At 36.7% G+C, this 26,173-nt stretch overlaps 1 protein-coding gene across 2 annotated transcripts in view; it reads right to left on the bottom strand.

Annotated features, from left to right (window-relative positions):
• NF1 (neurofibromin 1) overlaps positions 1–26,173 on the bottom strand; it is a 282,699-nt gene that overhangs the window by 108,106 nt on the left and 148,420 nt on the right. The window contains exons 30-36 of one of the 2 annotated variants that reach the window (NM_001042492.3): positions 20,451–20,586; positions 16,570–16,632; positions 11,068–11,226; positions 10,441–10,538; positions 9,055–9,201; positions 7,713–7,859; positions 4,231–4,341 (exon numbers count right to left, since the gene is read on the bottom strand). In NM_001042492.3, coding sequence (NP_001035957.1) covers positions 4,231–4,341; positions 7,713–7,859; positions 9,055–9,201; positions 10,441–10,538; positions 11,068–11,226; positions 16,570–16,632; positions 20,451–20,586 — 861 coding nt within the window. The remainder of the gene's footprint in view (positions 1–4,230; positions 4,342–7,712; positions 7,860–9,054; positions 9,202–10,440; positions 10,539–11,067; positions 11,227–16,569; positions 16,633–20,450; positions 20,587–26,173) is intronic. The other variant, NM_000267.4, reaches the window with a different exon arrangement.

Genomic DNA, 26,173 nt, shown 5'->3' with positions numbered 1-26,173 from the left:
CTTAGGTACATGAGTCAATAAATTCCTTTTTGGCACACATAAATTTGAATTGCATTTCTGTCACTTGTAACAAGCAAAATTAACACATTGCCTTATTCCCTAATGTAAATGTATCATCATTTATTCAACAATTCCCCTTTTGAAACACAACTCTATTGTTTTCCTTTTTGTTGCCACTATATAAACAATGTTGCAACAATGTCCTTGTATTATGCTACCTTACCACAGGGCAAGAGCATAAGTATATTGGATGGAATAGAAGGAAAAGATTAGAAAAGTACATTAGGCCAAAATTACCTTGCATGTTTGACTACAGAACTTGGACTTTATACAGGGAGTCAATGGGACAGACAAGCTTTCTACTGGAAACTGGCTCCAGAAGAAATGTTAAGATTACCTAGAAGTAGTCAACTGGTGATGAAGGAGGAGGAGAATAATGCTACATTAGTATAGGTAAGACACAGAGTTCCAGCAAAGCAGTGGGGGAAAATGGTTTCGAAAGACATTGCCAAGGTACGTAATAGTAATATTAGACCATTAAGGTCCAACTAAAAAAAAAAATTAGGCCAGGTGTGGTGGCTCACATCTGTAATTCCAGCACTTTAGGAGGCCAAGGCAGGAGGATTGCTTGAGCCCAGGAGTTCAAGCCCAGCCTGCGCAACATAGCAAAACCTCATCTCTACAAAAAAAATAATAATAATAAATTAGCCAGCTGTGGTGGCACACACCTGTTGTCCCAGCTACTTGGGAGTATGAGGCAGGAAGATTGTTTGAGCCTGGGAGCTAGAGGCTGCAGTGAGCCATGGTAGTGCCACTGCACTCCAGCCTAGACAACAGAGTGAGACCCTGTCTCAAAAACAAAACAAAAAAAATTAAAACACATACCTAAGAACAGCCCCTGATGAAGAAACAGCACCAAGTGGTCACTTTTTTTTTTTTTTTTTTAGACAGAGTCTTGCTCTGTCACCAGGCTGGAGTGCAGTGGTGCAATCTTGGTTCACTGCAACCTCCACCTCCCGGGTTCAAGCAATTCCCCTGCCTCAGCCTCCCGAGTAGCTGGGACTACAGCCACGTGCCACCACGCCTGCCTAATTTTTTGTGTTTTAGTAGAGATGGGGTTTCATCATGTTGGCCAGGACGGTCTTGATCTCCTGACCTCATGATCTGCCCGCCTCAGCCTCCCAAAGTGCTGGGATTACAGGCATGAGCCACCGCGCCCAGCCAAGTGGTCACATTTTGAATCACATGACTGCTGGGCCAGGAGCACATACTGGACATAGGGGCAGCCAGTAATCAACTGGCTGGCCAGAACCTAACATTAAAGTTTCTGCCAAGCAGAGATGCTTTTTAGCTGAATCATATTTTCTTTCTGGAATTTCAGATGTGCAGTACTGAGATAATGAACGGGTTACTATCTGGGGCAAAAGCTGAAAGGATACAGAAAGATGAAAATCATGAGGAAGAGTTGAACACAAAACCGAGAGACAGTCAAAGAGCATAGCCAGTTCCAGCACCACAGCCATCTAGTTCTCTATATCTGGGTAGGCTCTGCGCTAATTCATGCTTTTCCTAAAAACTATCCTTGAGAAAATACAAATGACTGCTTTGCAATAAAAGCCTAACTAAAACAACTTAACTGATTGCCCAGGATCTCACAGGTAAAACCAAGATTTGGTGACTAACAATGAGAAAGACAATAAGAGGAAAGAATTTAAAATGATTAGGGTCTCTAGATGGGGAACTAGAAGGGATGATGATGGTACTGAGAAACAGAAATACGGTGTGAAGAGGAGGTTGATTTGAAGATATACTGAATTAAGTTTTGGACATTTCAAGTCTGAAACGTCTGTGGACCATCGATAAGGAAATTAGAAAATCCACAATTCAAAAAGCATTACTTAATACATAGTAGTCTAAGCCACAGAAACACAGGAATATCAAAAGAGAAGTCAAACCCAAGTGCTCTTTGACAAAACTGACGGCATACAGACAGACAAGACCTTCATAATGGAGTAAATGGATGCTCTGCTCTGATATACTGTGTACTCATCTGTCTTGGAGCTAGGCTTCACACCAGGTGAAAATGAAGGTCAGGAGGAGCTCCAGTAGGTCTAAGTAAGAAACTAAAAGGATTGAAAATCTGAAACTGACAGTGCCATATCCCCCAAAAAAAGAATGAAAGAAAAAAAGAAAATCTCAAATTTACTCCTTACACAACTTTATAGGTCACAAAACACTTTATAGGAGAGGTAGACAGTTTTTATAAGCACATACCCCAGCTTTAACATATGAAGCAACAGATTTGGAAAAATAAACTTATCTAAGATTATGCAGCTAAGGCCAGGTGCAGTGGCTCACACCTGTAATTCCCAGCACTTTGGGAGGCCGAGGCAGGCAGATCACCTGAGGTCAGGAGTTCAAGACCAGCCTGGCCAATATGGTGAAACCCCATCTCTACTAAAAATACAAAATCAGCCACGCATGGTTCTACATGTCTGCAATCCCAGCTACTCGGGAGGCTAAGACAGGAGAATCACTTGAAGCCAGGAGGTGGAGGTTGCAGTGAGCCGAGATCGCTCCATTGCACTCCAGCCTGGGTGACAAGAGTGAAACTCCATTTCAAAAAAAAAAAAAAGATTATGCAGCTAATAAGCAGCAGAGCTGAGAATTCTTAGCATTCTCAGGCCACAAGACTCAATAGGTTTCATGGAAACCAAACTGATTGAATCTCACTAAGGGATCTGCAGCAGGTCCAATCTTTCCTTTAGCTTTTTCTAGATCACCACAGAGAGGGAATACAAATATAACAGTTTCTGATTCCGAAAAAAAAAAACGCAGCTTTGTTTTCCAGAAATCTTTGCTATTTGTAAACTAATAAGATTTTAAAGAAGAGGGGGAAACACATCTTCTACCTCCCTTACCAATGTTTGCTTTTTACTTAGACAACAACGGAAAAGTAAAAATATCCTGGTTGTATTAAAGGTTGGGGTTAGAATACAAATATGGTTCATCTCAAACGCAAACGAAAATTAAAATGATCTTAGGCAATTTAGAAATGGCAACTGAGATGAGAGCTGGAGAGAGGCCTTTCATGGGAAGGTGAGCAGGGGTTACTTAGAGTTGTTAAAGGGCAGGGGGGTGGCGGGAGGTTCAATGCAATTTTCTTACTTTCTTGATTCCCTAATACTCCAGTCCTTTGGACTTCTTGGTCTTAAGGCTATCTGAATGACCCTATTAGACAAGTTTCCCATCTTCCACTGATCTTCCTTCACCGTCTCTCTACTATTTCTCAACCTTGATTTGTTTCCTACACACTGCCACCTGTGGCCAGCAAGCTGACTAACAATGTAAGTCTACTAACTTAATGGTCATGGATGTTAAATACTGTTAAATTCAGGAAACTGGTAAAGATTAAGTCTATAACTAATGAGTAGCAGAACTAGGTCTAAACATGGTCCTTGAGATTCCAAAGTCAGTGGTTTCTCTATGTATCATGTTGTCTCTAAGGCTCAATTACCATGAATGTATGTCATGGTAAATGGGAAAAAGTAAAACTGACCAAATAACGTCACAGATTGAGTTTTCAAAAGGAAGGTAAAATGAAGCAAAAAAGAAAAGACAATGGTAGGGAAAGCAAGGCAAGCATCATACCTATTATTAAGGAAGAGCTCACAACATTTCCAGAAAGGCTTTCTAGGAACTAGCCTCAACTGAGGGCAGCATGAACAAGCACCGTTTTCCAGGCCACCCCTTGCACCATCTTCATAGAGATTTTTCACCACTCCTTTGAATTATTTTTTAAATCATCCTGATGCTGTCTTACACAGCATATTTTTAAAAGTTCTCAGAAATAGGCTCTTATAGTTTTATTTCTTCCTTTAAAAAAAGTTCCCAGTTATCATGTTGTGAGTACTATTTAATCAGAATATACTTGAAAACAAAAGATTCTTTGTGGGTTTTTAACTCTTGGTAATTAATCCATTGCAGGCAGTATTTTAAAAAATGATGTAGGACAGAGTAAGCAATATGAAATGGGTAGTATGAAAAGCAGCTACTAGATACCGACCATCATTTTAGGAAACGCAGGCTATTTACCCTGCTATATGCTCCCAAGTAAACTTGTCTTCAATTCCTGTTAAGTCAACTGGGAAAAACCAAACTTGCCATCTCTCTATATTTGCTATAATTTAAAAAATTCTGTTAAGAGACCCAAAACATAGTATTTCTTACCTCCGTGCAACATAATAAAAAATAGGATTCCCAGCTTTGGAAGTCCCAGCTTGGTAGAAAATACTTAACGTTTTCAAAGCCTTGAATTCTTCTTTTTCATGTACCTGATGCCTAAAAGAAAAATAACAGAGTAATTATGAGGCTTTATGTTGTCTACTGAGTATGTAAAAAAGTCTATAATTGGATAAACAATAAAATACTAAAATGAAAAAATATTTTAAAAGCAACAGGCATTCTAAAGGGTAATTTGGCAACATGCACCAAAAATTTCAAGGTATTACTCTTTGAACCACAAAAGCACTTTTAGGACTATTCTAAGAGAACTACTGGGCAAGAATATTAACCATAGGATTGGTTTTACTCATGACATTTTTGTCCCAGACAGAAGTTTATGATTTTTTAAATAATTCATTTTATCAATCTTTTCTAGTTTATGGATTTTGAATGGATGAAAAAGGCCTTGCTTTGCTCATTTTTTTTGATTTATGGAAGTTTATCATAAATGGTATGAAAATATTTTTCCAAATCATTACTCAGTTTTATCAAAACCATTTATTGAAAGTCCATCCTAATCTCGATTCTGAATACCAGCTTTAGCATATATTATGTTCCCATATGTATTAAAGCCTGGTTTAATTTTTATATAGTTTGCTCAAGACTCAGTGTGCTTCTTCAACCTCAAGATTCATGTCATTCATCAACTCTAGAAAACATACATCCATTAGCCTTTCAAATATTACTTCTTCCCATTCTCACTGAGCTCAGTTTCTAGGGAACACCTACTAGACATATTTTGAACCTCCTCATTTTATCTTCTGCATCTCCTAACCTCTTTCATATTTTCCATTTATCTGTCTATACTGACTGTATGCTAGGTAATTTGCTTAGAAACTAGCTTCAGCTATAAATTTAATTTTTTTTTTTTTTTGAGATGGAGTTTTGCTCTTGTTGACCAGGCTGGAGTGCAGTGGCACGATCTCGGCTCACTGCAACCTCTGCCTCCCGGGTTCAAATGATTCTCCTGCCTTGGCCTCCCAAGTAGCTGGGATTACAAGTGCCCACCACCACACCTGGCTAATTCATATATATATATTTATTTATTTAGTAGAGATGGGGTTTCGCCATGCTGGCCAGGCTTGCCTCGAACTCCTGACCTCAGGTGATCTACCCACCTCGGCCTCCCAAAATGCTGGGATTACAGGCGTGAGTCACCGCACTCGGCCTAAATTTTTTTAAGTACACATATTTTCTTTTACACCTAGTATTTCTATGAGCCTTATGTCTTGGGAAGAGATTGCATTAGCTCAGCCCATCATGCTGCTGGTACCAGGTCAGAATTTTAAAAATATTAATGGAAACAACCTAGATATCATTTGATAGGAGAAACAAATGTACATGTGCATAGATAAATGACTGGGAGACTATTCACCAAACGTTAAGTGAAGTATTCTGAGAGGGAGGATAAACAATTTTTAATTTTTTTAACTTTCTTTAGATTTCTATATCAAGTAATTTAATAATTTTTTAAATAACTGAGAATATTATAAAGCTACCTTCATTTTTTTTAAAAAAAAGAAAATGGGTCTCCAAGAGCATCAGTGGGAATTTAGAACAAAAATAAGATCCAACATTTATTAATTACTTTACAAGTACCAGATACTATGCTAAGTATATTATATATATTGGATTACTTAATCTTCAAAAGCACAAAAGATTGCTTTGTAAGGGAAGGTAGGATCTCAGAAAAAAGGAATAATAAAAATATTTTTCTAGAAAAATGGCTAGGATGTCCTCAGTGATGTCAAATTTAAAAACTGTTTTGATTCATTCATTTTTATATTTATATTTATTTATATTTATATTTACTTATATTTCTTTTTACTTATTTATATTTTTACTTATTTCTTTATTTATAGACAAGGTCTCATTCTGTCACCTAGGCTGGAAATGCACTGGTGCAATCACAGTTCACTGCATCCTCAAGCAATCCTCCCACCTCAGCCTCCCAGGTAGCTGGGACCACAGGTGCGTACCATCACACCTGGTTAATATTTTATTATTTGTAGAGATGGAGTCCTGCTATGTTGCCCAGGGTGGTCTCAAACTCCTGGGCTCAAGCAATCCTCCTGCCTTGGCCTCCCAAAATGCTGGGATTACAGGCATGAGCCACTGTGCCCAATCTATCTATCTTATCTATCTTATCTTATCTTATCTTATCTATCTATCTATCTACCTACCTACCTACCTACCTACCTACCTACCTATCTATCTACCTACCTACCTACCTACCTACCTACCTACCTATCTATCTATCTATCTAATAAAGACAAGGTCTCACTATGTTGCCCAGGCTGGTCTTGAACTCCTGGCCTCCAGCAATTCTCTCACCTTGGCCTCTCAAAATGTTGGGGTTATAGGTATTAGCCACCATGTCTGGCCTAAAAATAGTATTATATTTTTGTAGTATATAATTTTCAATTAGGTAATGTGAATAGTCTGTATGGAAAATATGCCCTTAATTACATAGGAATAAACATTTGTTACACTAAAAAAAATCTAGTAGAGCTAAAAATAAAAATTAATTTGGAAAGGACACTATATACCCATACATTCTTATGTTTATACATTCTTTCATATATTCATATATTCTTTTAACAGTATCAATGGTTTGGAGTTATATGTACAAAACCATGACCTGTAAGTAATACAACTAACAACAGGCACTTACAATTCAAGGCATATTATATACAAATCTTTAACTTCTCATCATCAGATTCTGTTTTATTCTGTTTTGGAACATACTATGAACATAGCACTCAAATCACAGACACGAAGGAGCACTTACTAAGCATAAAGTCCTGTGAAAGGTACTTTAAAAGATTCAGCAAACTACTCTCACTGTATCATCACAGAGTAAGTGTCTAACAATGAGGATCTTTTCATTCACAAACTAAATCCCACTAAATGGGATTCAAACAAATGTCCACAGAAATTTTATAGCAATACTGAAGTATACTATATTTTCTGAACCTTAATCTGAAATAATTTAAAACCATTAACCTTTATGAGGGTTCTGAAAAATGTTATAGTGTAGTAGAGAAGTCCTGCACTTAAAACCAAAAGACCTATGAATCAGGTGTGGAATCTTAGGCAAGTCAATTATTCACATTGAGTTGCATTTTCCTTAACTATAATTTGAAAATAATGTTGTCTTCACTCCCTGGTAAGTATTAAATGTGAAAACTTATGAAAGCAAGATGATAAAATATGATTTGTTACTATTGTTATGACAATCAATATATAAAATAAAACACACCCTATATATATAAATAATATATAGTTGGATTCCCCAAACATGGCAATGTGATTATTAAATACATCTTTCCTCATAGTCTTCTATCATATCTAACAAGTGGCCTGGTGGCAAACTCTCCTTCTCAACCAAAAAGAAAGCAATCAACTATTTCAAGGTTGTACTTTACCTAGTCATAAATTCCTCAAACTTTGAACTGGTAAGGTTAAGGCTGGACCAGTGTGTATCTGCCACAGGTTTGTGCTCTGGAGGACCCAGGTATGCAAGAAGTGTTGCCATCTTATCAAAAGGTCGTCTTCCAACAGCTTTATGATCCCTAGATACAGCAAACTACTTAGAAAAAAAATTAGCAGTTCACATTTAGCACTACACATTTCTTTAACTTGTAACTGGTTGCTTTTCCTTTTACTGTCAGCTGATTTGTAAACAGCACCAAAAAGACCTCAGGACCATGTCTACTTCAATCCATTAATAATTCATAAAAGATTAAAATGCCCTGTCATTTAAACTCCCATCTCCCAATTGCTTACCCTTAGCTTCACAGTCCACTACTTTTCCCGTGAATGTGCTAATCATTTTTATTGGCATTTAAAAATAATTTGGACTCATTCTTCCTTTGTAAGGAACTCTTCATACATAGGAATTTGGTCCCTTTACAAGTTTATATAACTAGATGGGACAGCAAGTAATTTATGTTACACAAGAGACTAATAAGAGCTAATGAAACAATGCCCAAATTAATAATTTTGATTTTTAAGTATTTTTTTTTTTTTTTTAATTTCTGAGATGGAGTTTAGCTCTTGTGGCCCAGGCTGGAGTACAATTGTGCGATCTTGGATCACTGCAACCTCTGCCTCCTGGGTTCAAGCGATTTTCCTGGCTCAGCCTCCCGAGTAGCTGGGATTACAGGCCCCTGCCACCATGCCCAGCTAATTTTTGTATTTTTCGTAGAGACAGGGTTTCACCATGTTGGCCAGCCTGATCTCGAACTCCTGACCTCAGGTGATCTGCCTGCCTCAGCCACCCAAAGTGCTGAGATTATAGGTGTAATCCACTGTGCCAGGCCGGTATTTTCTATATAAAGCTTTATTTGCATATACTTAAGAGTATCACGAATGAGTTTATCATAGAATTAAAACACTGACAATATTTTAATTACTGAATTCCTACGAATTGGCTGTTCTTCAGAGTCAAATGCCAACGCTAATCTGAACTTCTTTGGATCTATAACAATCTGCAAGCCATAAAAACCCAAAGAGCAAATCTGTGATTTCTTAACCTGACAAAAAAATAATAATAATGACCACTGGAACCTAGGTAGGTTTGTTGATTATTTAATATGACTTAACCTTTTGTTTGTATTTTTTTGAAAAAAAGAATCTTTCTCTTTCTAAACCATAATTCTTAGTCCAAGAAGATGCAAAGTAAAAAGCACTATTCATGACCAATAATTGTATTAATCTAAATTTAAACGGAGAGTGTTCACTATCCCCATGACTGGGAAATCTTACCTGTTGCTGGAAAGATACTGCCCAATTTTCTCCTGATTGTTCCAGAGTAGACGATGTAAAGCAAGCACATTGCCGTCACTTATGAAGGAAAGACTATGATTTACTGCATCACTTGTAGGACAATCAGATGCTATATCAAGGAAAAACCTTCAAAAATGCAAAGTCATTAGAATTTTCAACACCAGATACACCCAGACTTATGTTTGAATTAAATTTATAAGAAGTAACTTTGTGAAGTAACTAAGATTACAAATATGGAGGGCTTGTTCACACAATGTGACTTGACATTAGACAAAGCAAAAAGGACAAGGAGAAAGTTGGCTTTCCATTTCTGATACCCGGCTTCAGCTTCAAAGTAGGCTCTGAAGTTAAACAACAACAAAATTAAGATGGATGAAACTTTGGAAAGAGGCTAGTATTTTACAGATAAGGAAATGAAGGTCCAGACGAAAGACCTCCCCAAAGATATATAGCCTGCTAGGTCAGAGCCAGGATTAAAACTTTGATCCTTTTAACTTTGTATGGGTACACAGAGTGCCAGAATATGAATCCTATGCTGACATTCACTCTCTTTCCAACATGGCTTGTCATTCAGCAATATACCTTTTCAACTCCAATTTCTCTAACAGAAAAAAAGTCAGTAACAACTACAATGATGATAAACTGGAAGAGAGAGTTGTACAAGGCTAGCTTAGATGATGAGGATCAATTAGATTCACACTGCATGAAAAGCAGAATTCCAGACATAAATTTACAAAGCGCTTTCTTATGAATTATCTCATTTTTTTCTCTAAAAACAACTCAGGCAAAGAGTTTATCCCTACTTTACAGATAGACCAATAACTCAGAGAAATAAAGTGAAATAACTAGTTATAGAAATCTAGCAGAAAAGTTTTCTAAAATCATAAAGTTCAGTTCCTCATAAACAAAATCTTATGTGTTTGTTTGACTTGGTTTAAAGAATAACATTTTAGTTTAGATACACTTCCAAATTTAAGTATCACAAATACTCTAACATCAAAAAAACCTTATTAAACATTGTTATGTATTATTGATACCAATTTGGTTTTAGTTTTAAATAAAAAGAATCCTACTTCTTCCTTGTCCACATATTGTACCATCCTCAAATCCTTTATTTAATTAGACATGTCAAAAATCCCTCTTGGTTTTCAAATATGAAAATCACTACCAAATTATAAAAAATATTAATTTATTTCATGACTGTCTTTTATAGTAAAATAAAATAAGACAAGCTATGTCTTGACCTAGAGCAGGAAAAGAAAAAAACTTACACAGGAACTTCATGTAAAACAGGTACATGGATTTATGTGAAACCGAAAATATTTGATTCAAACAGAGCAACTGAGTAAGTGGCAAGAAAATTACCTGCGTGCTGCATCAAAGTTGCTTTTCACAAAATCATTGAAAGGCCGCATATGTTCTTCTTTTGTGAAGAGAACATGATTGGCAATACTCTGAAGTATCTACACAATAAAACAGGGTTATAAATAATCAGATTATTTATTGTATGAAGTCTATACATTAAGACATTCTTTAAAAACATGAATTTTCTCATTGATATAATTTCTGCTAGTACTTAAAAATCAAACATTCCTCATTCTATAAATTATTTTAGGTAGTGTTTCTAACCTTCCCAAATATAATTATTATATTTACATGTAAAAATACATATTAAAAATGTTTAATGACTTTTAAAATAAAAAATCCTATAGTCTACATTCTAGTCTGTTTCAGAATGTCTAGAATGATTACGCAAAAAATGATCTTCATAACACAAGACATCTGCTATAATAAAATGTTTTATCATGAAAATAAGGTCCATCAGGTACCTAACTAATGAATTCCTTTGTAATATAAACAAATAAAACAAAAGCACATAACTGAAAACCATAGGGTATTTCAAATATAAATGTAAGAGGAAGTACTGTAAGAAAAGCTGAAAATTTAGTTGGAAGGGGAATTTAAGATAGCTAGATTATCAAAATAATTCACCTTTGACATTAACTTCAAGCCCCTTTCGATTCTAGGTGGTGGCTTTTTATCTAAAATCCCTGCTTCATACGGTGAGACAATGGCAGGATTGATAAATCTGAGGAACATGGCACTTCCTACTGCACCGATGCTGTTCTGAGGGAAACGCTGGCTAACCACCTAAAAACAAGGAGTTGAGAATTGAGTATAAGGTTTGAATTAATATAAAGACATGAAAACAAAGAGTTCAAAGGTCAAACTTTGCATAAAAACTCTGAATCAATCAGTCCTCATGAATGACATATTTCTATTTTTTTCTTCTCCCAAAACATGAGAAAATAAAGTTTCCTCTCAATTCTAGTCTTATATCATATTAAAGTACAATTAAGGTATCTCAGAGGAAAGAAAAACCTCATGGATGAGATGGGTAGAAGAAACCTGAAAAAAGATCTTCACTGTATCATCACTTATACTGCATGTTTGATGAGTAATGAAAGCAGACCAAATTTTTCACACAAAGATGATCATAATTTACTAAGATTAACAGACATGAAAGTGTGGTCAACTTTATAACGTGAAACTAAATTTTCAACAGCACACCCCCAAAACATCCTATACCTGATAGTACATATTTACATTTTGTTGTGTACCAGTTACAATTGAATTTAAGAAAAAAATGCTTGCCATATACAAAATAAAATATTAGATTCTTACTGAGAAAAAAAAAAACTTACTTACAAGTAATGTTACTGCCAGTGCCTTTTCTTCACAGCTTCCTTTATAATACAAGAACCTACCTATTATTTAAACCATGGAGGGATGGGAATTCTTGGGGACCTAAAAGAAAAAAGGATCTCACCAGAAGAGAGAACCCCTATGTCTACCTCAATTTATAATTCTGTCAAATAAAAATAATTTAAGAACTCAAGAAATGGTTGTCCAGCCTGAAAAGCAATGTGAACCCAATATTTAAAATGGATGATTTTCCCTTTATAAAACATTCTACATTAAGATAAAAAGGTACCTTAGCTCGGGAAGAGTGCTATAAAACTGGTTCAGCTCCCATCCCTTTCCAGAGTCCCCTGCTTTAAATCATGTCATAGATGAAAATTATATTTTGCAGTTTACATTTTTATATATACTATATATGTTCATTTTTAAAGAACACTTAATGTAACATTTTAATCTCTACAGCTATTCTTGCTTAGTGCGGCTAAACTGCTGTTTAAAGTAGCAGTGACTACAAAACTGTAGCATTCCACTCAATATTCTGTGATGTCAAGGATAAACCTTCATTTCAAAGGATATTGGTGGGAGGGGACCCAGATTTACATGCGGAATATCACGTAGCTATTTTTTTCACAATGCTTCAATAAATATTTCCTGTCATAATTTATGACAGGAAATTATGACACAAATTATGACAGGCTGACTCCAGATTAACTCTGGAAAAAATGGGGATTATTTCACTTCATCTTGTTCAATGTAGTGCTTCATGCAGTCCACATTTTAAATGTGTTATCACTGCTTATAACCTCAAAATAGCTTTCTATAATCTCTAACAGGAAGTTAGTAAAAACTAGATTTTAGAGAAAATATTTGTAAGAGGTGATAAAAAGAGGTCAGTTGTAACTAATATAGTTCCATCTTCAGTTACACTACACATAGTTCAGGAAGCTTTCTTTATGTTACAGTGTTTATTGCATGAAGAACAACCTTAACCCTTAAATAAGGGGAAACTGGTGAAGGTGACTAAATATAGCTGCTTTATTAGAATGGCTTTAAAACCTAAATACCATTTATTTTTAGCTCAAATATATACATTTAGAATTAGATACAGAAGTTTTAGCTAAAACTATAGAAAGATGTAAAATTAAGAAAAAATTCCAGTGCTTTGACTATTCCAGTACGGTGTTGAACCTTCTGGGGACGAGGAACCTCTTTGAAATCTGATAAAGGTTAGAAAAATGAATGTATGCATTCACACACACAAAATTCTTCACATAATTTTAGAATATTCATAGACCATCATTGCTACTGAGTGGTTTTCTAAAACTCCCAAATTTTAATCTTAGACAATTCTCTGGCTGGGCGTGGTGGCTCATGCCTGTAATCCCAGCACTCTGGGAGGCCGAGGCGGGCAGATCACTTGAGGCTAGGAGTTCGAAACCAGCCTGGCCAACATGGCAAAACCCCATCTCTACTAAAAATACAAAAATTAGCTGGACATGGTGGAGCCACACCTGTAATCCCAGCTACTTGGAAGGCTAAGGCAGGAGAATCGCTTAAACCCAGGAGGTGGAGGTTGCAGTGAGCCATCGTGCCACTGCACTCCAATCTGGGTGACAGAGAGACTGTCTCAAAATAAATAAATAAATAAATAAATAAAGGCAGACAAAAGAAACCTATAACATTTTAAAGCCTTTAAGGAGTGAGTTAGCAGGAGGGAAAAGGATTAAAAACTGCTTTATAATTATTTTAAAATAGATTATTTTAAAAGAATTAGCATCTCATACGTTTAACTCATTAAAATTCTAAAAGTTTTTACAAAACTAAAACCCATAGTTTAATTTTCAAAGAACCAGTTAGTTTATAAAATGTTAACCTGCTGTGAAACACATGGAGAGCTTTCAAAATACTGTTTTATTTTTTATGCTAGTAAAATGAAGCACTGGGAGTGGAGAAGGAACAAGGAAATTTGTAATGGTTATCATCAATTAGACAAAATACTTCTTTGAAAGTAGCTATTTACCGGTTTTCTCTAGGACAAAGAAGTTTTAAAATGTGACTCATATTTACACCTGATTTAATGGTACTCAGCCTCAGAATTTAATGAAAAACTGAGTGATTTCCCAAAAGCATATTGTAAACTTTATGAAAAGTACTACACTTTTACCATCTTCCACATCTTTAAAAATAATTCATGTCAAAACCCAAAATATCGACACCTCAGGAACACATACTGTCTCATGTATCATATAAATATATGTATCACTGATGGCAGAATCAATATAATTTTGGAACTAAAAACTGATTTTAAAAACCAATAAAAATGCTACATAACAAGTTTCGTAAGTCAACTTATAAAAGGACTGTTTTTTTTTCATTCACCACTAATTGACATCAATGTAATTTTACCTCATAATACATACATGCTCTAGTGTTTTTTTTAATCCATAAAAATCTAATTTGGATCCAAAAGACATTCTGCATAAAAGGTCAAACTTGGGCCAGTCTGTGTGTTGAGACCAGTTATCAGCCAAATGTACCCTTTCTTCCCTTGGTAAAAGCTGACTACATAACGCGAATGCATGTAGTCATAAACTACACTTCAGCAAGAGCATTACTACCCATATATGCTTAGTTACTGCATTCTCCCTGAGTTAGGCAGACAGTTAACTTTCAAAGTAAACCTCATTATACACTATATATTTGAGAATAATAAACAGTTATTTGTAATGTGACTACACAGCTATATACTAGAAGCCAGATCTTCTCTCTATATTTTACATATTCCAATCCATGACATATACACCCAAAAAGAAAGTCAGCTTGCTCTTAAATATCATTAGGTTTTGTTAAAGCACACAACTCCATAAAACAACATTTTAAATTTATGAGTATACTGTCTTCATACTTTGGAATGTACTCTAAAATATCTCGAATTACCAATTAGATTCCCCTTGTTTCCATGAGGAGCTCGTATTACCTGTGCTGAGAAATACATTCCAAAACTTGGTGTTACCCAGAAATTAAAAAAAAATTTTTTGAAAATAACTCTAGTAGAAAAAAAAACATTTCAAGAAACAATTTTAGACATAATCTTAATAAATAAAGCAGTGTTAGAAAGGCTAGAAAACATGCTCTAGAGAAACACAGAAAGCCTGAATTTTAATTATGTGATACACTACAAAATGGCATTAGTATAACACTGAACAAGAGTGTTAGAAGCAGCAAATTAATTTCAACAATGATGGTGTACATTATGTTAAACTCACATATGCTGAGAATTAGAAGGCTGAAGCATTAGAAACGTCTTTATAATCCAATCAATTTGATCATAGCTAGGCAAATTTACTTAATATAATCAAAAATAAAATCTTCAATGGACACAACAAAAGTATATGTCTATAAATTTAAATTTTGATTTGAATTTTAAAAATCTATATTTAAAGCTTAGATAATTTATATGTACAGCTTAGAAACTTATATGTAAAGCTTTTTCGTTTTCTTTTTTTTTTTTTTTTTTTGTGAGACAGGGTCTTACTCTGTCACTCATGGTGGAGTACAGTGATACAATCACAGCTCACTGCAGCCTCAACCACCTGGGCTCAAGCAATCCTCCTGCCTCAGCCTCCCGAGTAGCTGGGACTACAGGAGTACACCACCACGCCTGGCTAATTAAAAAAAAAAAAAAATTATTTGTAGAGACGACTCGCTATGTTGCCCAAGCTGGTCTTTAACTCTTGGGCTCAAGAGATACTCCCACCTTGGTCTCCCAAAGTGCCCGGATTACAGGTATGAGCCACTGTGCCCAGCCATAAAGCTTTTATTATATGTAAAGTTTAGATAAGGCATGAAAGATGAAACCAGATGAACACTGTATTCTAAATTACACCCTTTTAAGAAAACTACCTACTTAGTTTTCTTTACATCTTACTCTACAATCATTTGGATTATATGAACAAAGACAGGGCTCAGCCTGATAAGTCACTGTGACAGATAATGGCAAATGTAAAATGAATGCATATTATATTTTGGACAAATTCCATTCACTGGAAGAAAATAATTACGACTCTCATAATTTTCTTCCTTTTAAATAAATCAAGGCAAGTTCATAGAAGCAGATAGTATATTCACATTATGTTTGCAGAATGATGTGTTTTTCTACAAATATGAACTCAGTTTTCTTTTATCTCAAAAGTACTATCTTATCATTTACCTCTTATTTTTTTGAGGTAAAAGTAGTTTTACCATTAAAATTTCTATAATCTATGCACAAATATCTAAATTATGCCTGAGACTGCCTAGATAAAAATATGAAGAGTAAAAAAATAAAATTTAGCAACTTTTAGGTAAGATTTAGAAAGTGACTCTTTCCCACCATATACTTCTAACAATTAAGAAACACTGTCATCTCTGGGAAAAGAAACCACTCACATTACCTTCAAACAAGAAGCAAGAATGAAGACAGTCAGCGTTTCCTAAGGCCTTGAAATTAAGTTTCTTTGCATTCATTTATAATTTAAAAAGTAACAATAATAAAATTAGACCAAGGATATCCAATGCAACAAATGCCCACAAATTGCCTTTGGGATAAATCAAACCAAAGGAACACAGAGAATGTTTCAATGTAACTTAATTCCAGGGTTAATTGAAATGAAAGCTATTTTGTGCCAGAATTAGTAGAATGATTTTACAGTGAAGGTCAAATAGGCTGAAGTGAAGATATTCTTAACAAACAGCAAAAGATTTTTGTTTTGCTTTGAAAGAAACAGCTAATAAAAAGTTCTCCAAACTTACTGATTTTTTGTTTTCCTTTTTTTCTTTTACTGTAGCTTTATTCAGTAGGGAGTGGCAAGTTGCCTACAGAACAGAGATGAGCACAAACAAGTCACAGCACCGACTACATACAGCAACAAAAACAATGTTGGCTTGTACATAAAATTACACCATAAAATGTAACACAAATGGAATCAACAAAAAATTAGAAATCAACTGAATTTTGAGGAATGAATTTTAATTCTGGGTTTTAATTTTTATTACATTTTTAAGCCAAGCACTAAAACAGCAAGAAATGTTGAGACCCAATCATGTCTACTATTTCTGGCTATGAATCACAGAAAAACTCTCTCCAAGTGAATTTGAGGATATTAAATATTTACATTTTGGTTAATTCCTAGCTTTTGAGAAATGTAATATAAAATATTCATTACAAGTAGATCACACACTAAAAACATTTGTGTCTACATAATTTTTTCTTGGTATGTAAAATTCTTCTCTGTGTATCCTTCAATTGACTTTAAGTTCTTTTTCCAACACCTGGCATTTAATTATGATCCTACTGAATAAAGAAATAAAAATTATATGGATAAATATAAAAATTCACTTTAGAAATTCTGAATTAAAGACCTCTCTCTCTAAAAAAGATTACTCTTAACATTTCACATATTTTTCAATGTTTGCAGGCTACTTCCTGAAATGGTTCTAATCAGAGGAGGTTAAAAGCTCTGCAACATTTGGGAGAAGAAGGTTATCAGCTCAACTAGTAAGAAGCATTAATATTATTAAAGTGAAGAAACTGCAGAGAAAATTACAGAACAAAACTGTAGGCCTGCTTAAAACTTTTCACATATTACAGTTGACCATTTATCAAAATATCTTAAAAAAAAAAAAAAAAAAAGCCACCTAAAAAACCCCCAAAACTCCAGGCACATATTGGTTTCATCTCTCAGAGCTCTTTCTAGACCAAAGATTTCTTTCAAAATTAAAAGACTCTTGATTGGACTAGCCTAGGCAGAATAATTATTTTAAAAATATTTTTAAAACCATGTTAGAATTATTTAATCCACAAATAGATGGCATCTTATTCTGGGAATTCTGGACATCCAACACCATAACCCATAACTTGGGCTTTAAGTTAGTTAGACATCCATTCATCCACCCACCCATTCATCCATCCAAAGAGTTACTGTGTACCTACAGGTCAAATACCATTCTAGGCATTGGGAAATAGCAGTAAAACAACAAGACACAGCCCCTTAGCTCACAGAGCTTTGTTTCAAACTTTAGACTATATACAAATGTATTAGTAACAGTGGTATATAACTATCATTTATAGCCTTAAAACTGTGTGTAAACTACTTCAGTTTGGAGAAGCAGATTTACTGAAAAAGGGTGAGATTTATTTAGAATCATAAATTAGTTCTTAGAATTCTCTCACCATACGAGAATATCCACTTTGGGAATCATTTTATCTTTATCCTAAAACCATCAGGAGAAGTGAAAACAACACATGAGAAAATGATTTAATTATAAATCTGACACATGTTCACAGTTGGCTATTCTTAAATAACCTTAATCCAGTCAACTAAGGAAGGAAGGTATATAAAGTAATAGAGCTGGTTAACACATGATTTGAAAAGGCTTAAAGGCCAAGATATGAACTCAAAAAAGGAGCTAAAGTCCAGGGAAGTTTATTAGCTAGCAATATACTCACTTCCCTTTCAACATTTCCCCAGTAGGTCCCAAAGGGACTACTATCCCTCCAGGCAGAACACAGAAGAGCAGGAAGGTACCTTTCTGTTACTGCCAAAGGCAAAGGGGCAAGAAAAAGCCAGAAGAGGGAAGATGAATAAAAACAAAAGAGCAAACCAAAAGAAATAAACTAGGTTTGGGAAGCAGACTCAATAAAATACTATCTTGAGACCAAAGCTTTTTTCCTATCTTTCTTTCTAATCAGTAAATGTAACATTCCCTGTTACCAGTTACTAATTAAAAAATAAAGCCTTATTTAATAACAACACAGCATGCTGTCTCTGCTCTTCAACAATGCTTTTACCCAATACTTAAACAATGCACTGATACCACCTTTAATTCATGTTTTTAAAGATAATAATTTTATGTGAAATTTTAACATAATAAACCAGGTTTGTTATTAAAATAATATAGGATATTTTACTGTGAAGTGCTCTAAAAAGCATAACATACTGTTTAATAATCACCACATATAGTGTTTAAAAATCTATTTTCACTATTTTCCTCCTTTCTTAGCTGTGAAAGCTGGCAAGAATCTTGTTTACTTAGGTGGGAGGGATGGGAAATTTATTTCTTCATTAAATATTTCCTAAGTACTAAATAAGTGCTAAGACCTGTTCCTTTTACATTATTAGAATCATGGTCTCAAAACGGTCTCCAACTTTGCTCATGATACAAAAAGATTTTTCTTTTAGGATGACAACCACATGAAGAAATTCTACTACAATCTCCTAGACCATGTAATCATGTAGTCAGTCCCCATTCACTTTTAACCAGCTAAAGTCAAAGCCTCTGTCATTTTAGAAACCCACTTGCTCTCTGAAACCAGTTACTACTAGGCCAACCAAGAAGCTGACCCAGACTATTTTTAATATGTGCTATTTCCTGTCTGCCTAGTTTCATCAATAGAACAATTACTAAATAAAATTTAAAGAGAAACCTGAATACAGCCCAAACTTGAGAAGATATTCACTGTATTAAGTTTCATATTATAACTAAACTACCCTTTAGACTCAGACTTAACTAGTTGAAAAAACTATACAGGATTTTCCTAAGTTTCCTTGAGCCTTTTTGTAAAGGCAGAAAAGTCATGATAAATTAAGAGAGACAAGGTTAAGTATGTTTTATCATCTATGTATACCGTGAAAAGCTTTTTTACAGATAGAACAGATACATCTTTAAAAATAGCAATGGTGAAAAAATTCACATAGAGCAGCCTCAAACAGCTTTTAAAATGGTGATTTCAATGATGCTGTTAACGTCTCTAAGCAACTGAAGCCGTGTGCTAAAAAAGCAAATGGCTGCGATGACTCTGCAAAGAGAGAGACACAAAGACATGGGTTTTGATAACTGTGTATTTCCCTTATATCCACCCCTATCCCAAATTCCAGACCCACTAATGTTTCTTCCAGAATCACAGTTTCCAAAAGGCTAATATGCATTTGCAGGACCTCCCTTGGAATAAATAATTCCTAAAACTGCAATGTGCAATTCAAAAACACAGTAGAAGACATAAAAGAACATAGACCGAATTCCCTAAAAAAGAAGGCCATGACTATGGCTATTTTCTGAGTTCAGACGCATTACTTGCAGTGCTAGTGTTAGAAGGTCTAATAATTTGGTCTGAATGATGATGCAGTATCTCTTTTAAGAAATATGCTACATAAAGTAAACAGAACAATCAGTCTATCCTGGGAAAACCTGACACAAACTAATTATACATTAATGAAGAAACCAAAATCACAGATGATCAAGCAATTCACAATGCAAAAAGCAAGGAGGAGACCCGCCTCAACTGTGAAACACCCTGTAAATAATTTAGGTTAATAGATGACAACAACAAAAATCCATAATATGTTCATTTCAGCCACATCCATCATACCCAATGGATTCACTGCATTTTAAACTTGCTCCCAATGCAAGTAAAATTTAGTATTTTAAAGTATTCTCTTACTTCAAACTGTTGCCTAAGTAATATTTAAGTTTTTTTCAAAGACAATTCCAACAATTCTCAATGTATTATTCATCCAAACTGACTCAGTATTATAGTTAACCACACACCATCAGCAGCTAGATCCTTCTTTGATAAAGCATTCTTCATAATTTAACTTTAGATTAATAATGGTAATCTCTAACTGTAAGCATACCTGGTATAAACAGTGGCACACACTTCGAAGTTGAGGGGGGAATTCTGAGGAGGAACTGATGATGGCATGGAAGAACTTTTCAGTCATCTGAAGGAGGTTCCGCTGGTTTTCCTCAAGGCTCTCTGATGGTTCTAACCTACAAAAAAATAAAAATAAAATCCTAACACTTTTGTTTAAAACAAATAACAAAAATCACTCCTTAAAAGAGACTCTTATACAGACATTAAGCCAAGTGCAACGTGTAGACTTCATTGGAATCTTTAAACAACCAACTATAAAAAAAAAAAAGACAACTTTGACAGGGCTGGATGGCTTACGCCTGCAATCCCAGTACTTTGGGAGGCCAAGGCTGACAGATCATTTGAGGTCAGGAGTTCAAGACCAGCCTGGCCAACATGGTGAAACCCCATCTCTACTAAAAATACAAAAATTAGTCAGGTGCCTGTAATCCCAGCTACTCAGGAGGCTGAGGCAGGAGAATCACTTGAACCTGGGAGGTGGAGGCTGCAGTGAGCCAAGACTGCACCACTGCACTCCAGCTTGGATGAAAGGGCAAGACTGAATCTCAAAAATAAAAATAAAAAAAAAGACAACTTTGAGATAACTGAAAAAAATTTAACAGAAAACTAGTCTTAGATATATTATTCAGGATTATTAACTTTAATTTGTGTGGAAATACTCAGGCTGCACATGCACGTGTATGTGTGTTTAAGTCTGTATATGTTAGAAACATGATCTCTGAGATATGCTTTAAAATACCCAAGCAACAAAAGGGGGAGAGAGGGGACAGATAAAACAAGAATATCATGTATTTTTCCAATTCACAATCCTCTATGTGTATATGCCCATATGAAAAAATTAACACACACATATGAATGATGCAGGTGTTTTTTTTTTTTGGTGGGGGGTGGGGGCGGGGGATGGAGTTTCACTCTCGTTGCCCAGGCTGGAGTGTGATGGCGCAATCTCAGTTCACTGCAACCTCCGCCTCCCGGGTTCAAGTGATTCTCCTGCCTCAGCCTCCCAAGTAGTTAGGATTACAGGCATGGGCCACCACGCCCGGCTAATTTTATATTTTTAGTAGAGACAGGGTTTCACCATGTTGGTCAGGCTGGTCTCAAACTCCCGACTTCAAGTGACCCACCTGCCTCGGCCTCCTAAAGTGCTGGGATTACAGGCATAAGCCACCACGCCCGGCTGAATGATGTAGGTCTTTACTTTTTTCATCAATAGTAACAAAAGGCAACTTTCATCTTTCACTCTACATTATGTTTCTGAGATTTATCCATGTTGATAGATGAAGATATAGTTCACTTTACTGCATAATAGTCTATTGTATACCATGATTTATCTATTCTCTAATTATAATGAACATTAAACATTTTTCACCTTTACAAACACCATTGCAATGAACATTCTTGCACATAAGAGATTCTCTAAGGCAGCTACCTAAAAATGAAATTTCTGAGTTATTGAGTATATGCAGATATAACTTTACTAGATATTGCCAAATAGCTCTAAAACTAGTACTGTATAAGAATTCTTATTCCCCTCCAATCTAGCAGTTGAGTAAAACATGAGGTAGCTCATGTTTTTAACTTCTATTTCCACAGTTCCTACTAAGGTTAGACATGCTTTTAGATATTTTGTGGCCATTCAGGTTTCCCCTATCTTGAACTGCATTTCACATCCAGTCTGACATTTCTAACTGCTAGATGTCCCCTCCCCACTGGTATCTAAAAATCAGTATGCCCCAAATTAACTGATTTTTCCTCGTACTCTTATGTCTTATCATGTGCTCTATGTTATCAATAGCACTATCACTTTCTTAATCACATCATTCAGGCCATCTCTGATGTCACTTTTTCCTGCTCTACTTCATTATTCCCCATATCCAATCAGTATTGCTTTTTTTTTTTTTTTTTTGAGATGGAGTCTTGCTCTGTTGCCGGGCTGGAGTGCAGTGGCACAATCTCGGCTCACTGCAACCTCCGCCTCCAGGTTCAAGCAATTCTCCTGCCTCAGCCTCCCAAGTAGATGGGACTACAGGCGCACCACCACCACGCCCAGGTAATTTTTGTATTTTTAGTAGAGACAAGGTTTCACCATGTTGGCCGGCATGGTCTAGATCTCTTGACCTTATGATCTGCCCACCTCAGCCTCCCAAAGTGCTGGGATTACGGTCATGAGCCACCGTGCCCGGCCCAGTGTTGCTAACTCTTATCAGTACCACCTCTAAACTCTGATGTTGTGATTAAAGGAAGAGATTCCGCAGGCAGACTTACTAGGTTTAAATTTCAGCTCTATCAGTTATCAATCATTATGAGTTGGTCACAATCCTTAAATTCTCTGGGTGTCATTTTTTCTCATCAATAATACAGGACTAATAATGCCTACTTTATGTAGTTTAAATTTTACCCAATAGTAATCAAATCCACAAACCTTTACTCTCTAACTAGCCTAATCTGAACTCTCAAAATACACCCCTTATGAAACTCACCACTTATCTGTTGTGTGTTTTATCCCTCTTACTAAACTGTAAGCTCCTTGAAGGAAGTATTTACCTATGTCCCCTTAAAGACTAGCACAGTGCCTTACCACAGCAAGTACTGAGTAAATATTTGTTTTTAACAGGTTAATTAGTAATTTTGTTTCTATATTAATTAACGTATTACAGAAATGCTTTGGACACTTACGTCATTGCTGTAGATTCCTTAGAGTTTGCTGTGTGGCACAGCATATGAATACAGTAAGAGTTCAGAAATTAGCATGGACTGCAAAGCAAGAAATACTTCATTGAACAGGTGAGTTCTAAAGGAGGCACAGAATTTGCATAGACAAAAGAAGTAAGGGTATTTCAGAAAGAGAAAGTAGGTGCGGCAGGTAATCAATCCAATAAATATTTAGTGCACATCTACTATCTGCCATCTTAGTATCAGGTGCTGAGGATTCAACAATTGCCTTTTGACCTTTTCAAAAAGGAGAAAGACATATAGACCAGGTATTCCACACTAAGTACTCAATACAATAATTCAAGGGTATTGTGATAAATATATATTTGGTCTCTGCTCCTGATTCCTGATACATTGCTCTTAAAACCCTTGGAATCTCTGGAAGTGCTGAGTGTCTTTTATATGATAATGAGATGACTGGTGGCTGGGAGGTCCTAGGGAGCTTCAAGACGGGGCTAGTCACCAGAAAGACCAAGTTTCGATTAGAGGGTTGAGACTTTCAGCCCCACTCCCCAACCTCCAAGGAGAGGAGAGAGGCTGAAGGTGAGTTTATCACCAATGACCCATGATTTAATCAATCATGCCTATATAATGAGGTCACCATAAAAACCCAACGAACAGAGTTTGAAGAGCTTCCAGGTTGCCGAACACATAGAGGTGCCTGGAGGGTAGTGCACCTGGAGACAGCATGGAAGCTGCAAGCCCCTTCCCACATGCCTTGCCCTATGTGCATCTTTTCCATCTGGCTGTTCATCTGTATCCTTTCTGATATCCTTTATAGTAAGTAGGCAAACAAAAGTAAAGTATGCCCCTGAGTTCTGTGAGTCCTTCTAGCAAATTAATCCAACTCAAGGTGAAGTTGTGAGAAGCACAGGTAACAACCTGGGGCTTGTAATTGGCATCTGAAGTGGTAGCAATCTTACTCAGCCCTTATCCTATGGGAAATCTGATGCTCTCTCCAGGTAAACAGTGTCACGGTTGAACTGAATCACAAGGACACCTGGTTGGTATCTATTGGAGAATGGCTGATGGTTGTTAGGAAGCCAGAGGAGGAAAATGAACTTGCAATATGTGGCTAATTGAAGAGACAGCCTAAATATGGGGATTATATGCAGGGAGAACAGTTAAGCTACAACAGTAATCCAAATCTTAAGATATGGAGGTCTAGGAGTTGGTAGGTATGAATGAGATTAACAATTTCTTTAACAAGGCTCAAAGAGACTGCTAGAAACCCTGACAATTGCCTACTTTGTGAAATTTTTTTTTTGAGTCAGCATAGCAGCAGGTACACTGCAGTCCATTTCAGGTTTCCCTCTAAAACAATACCTTCTAGCCACAGTGCTCTCTTGCTTCCCACATGCCAATGGTAACCTGTTGAATATTCTACTAATTCTGAACTACAATGAACATTTGTGTTCAATTATTCAAGTGTTCCTGTGTATAAAACTTTTCCCAAGTTGATTTTCAAAGAACTAGCTTGAGAACTGGAGGTGGAGCAAGATGGCTGAATGGAGGCCTCCAGGGATCGTCCCCCTTATTGGAACACCAACTTGAACAACCATCCATACAAAAAAGCACCTTCATAAGAACTGAAAATCAGGTAAGTGATCACAATACCTGGTCTTAACATCATATTAAGGAAGAGGCACTGAAGCGGGTAGGAAAAACTGTCTTGACTTACCTATACCACCCTTCCTTCACCTCCTGGCAGTGGCCCCGTGGTGTGCAAAGAAAATCTGCATTTGGGGGACGGACAGCACAGTGATTATGGGACTTTGCATTAGGACTAAATGCTGCCCTGTCATAGCAGAAAGCAACACAGGGCAGAGCTCAGCTGGTGCTCAAGGATGGAGAACTTAGAACAGACCTAGCCAGAGGTAAATCACCCATCCCAGCTGTTGAAACCTGAGTTCCAGCAAGCCCCACCACCAAGAGCTAAAGTGCCCTGAGGTCCTAAATAAACTTGAAAGGCAGTCTAGGCCCACAAGGACTGCAGTTTCTGGGTAAGTCCTGGTGCTGTGCTGGGCTCAGAGCCAGTGGACTTGGGGTGGACCTAGTGAGACAGCCAGGGCAACCAAGGGAATGCTTACATCACCCCTCTCCCAAACCCAGGCAGCTCAGCTCAGCTTGTAGCTCCAACAGAGATGCCTTCCCTCTGTTCAAATACAAGAGTGGAGAGAGTAAAGAGGACCTTGTCTTGTAACTACCAGCTTAGCCACAGTAGGAGAGGGCACCAGGCAGAGTCCTGAGGCCCCCATTTCAGGCCCTACCTCACAGACAACACTCCTAAACAAACCCTGGGCCAGAAGGAAATCTGCTGTCTTAAAAGGAAGGACCCAGTCTTGGCAGAACTCATCACCTGCTGACTAAAGAGCCCTTGGCCCCTGAACAACCAGGAGGGATAGCCAGGCAGTACTTGCTGTGGGCCTTGGGTGAGACTTGGAGACATGCTGGCTTCAGGGGTGACCCAGCACATTACCAACTGTGGTGGCTATGGAGAGAGACCCCTTCTGCTTGAGGAAAGAAGAGGTAAGAATAAAGGGGACTCTGTGTTGCAACTTGGGTACCAGCTTGACACAGTGGGGTAGGGCACTAAGTAGGCTCCTGGGGTCCCAGATTCCAGGCCTTGGCTCCTGGAAAACTTTCCTGGACCTGCCCTGGGTTAGAGGGGAGCCCCAAGGCCTTAAGGGAGAGACTCAGAACTGGCAGCATTCACCATGAGCTGAATGAAGAGCCCTTGGGCCTTGAGTGAACATCAGTGGTAGCCAGGCAGCACTCACCATGGGCCTGGGGCGATGGCGGCCATGGGAAAAGACTCCTCTGCTTGAGAAAAGAGGACGGAAGAGCGGGAAGGACTTTGTCTTACAGCTTGGGTGCCAGCTTAATGCTTAGCCGCAGCAGAATAGAGCACTAGGTAGATCTCTGATGTACCCAACTCTAGGCTCTGGCTCCTGAATGGCATCTCTGGACCCACGGAGAACTCACTGCCTG

This window comes from Homo sapiens, chromosome 17 (genome assembly GCF_000001405.40).
Source record: "Homo sapiens chromosome 17, GRCh38.p14 Primary Assembly".
Lineage (NCBI taxonomy): Eukaryota > Metazoa > Chordata > Mammalia > Primates > Hominidae > Homo > Homo sapiens.
The sequence above is the reverse complement of the archived record's forward strand: the minus strand, read 5'-3'. Positions and strand labels throughout refer to the sequence as shown.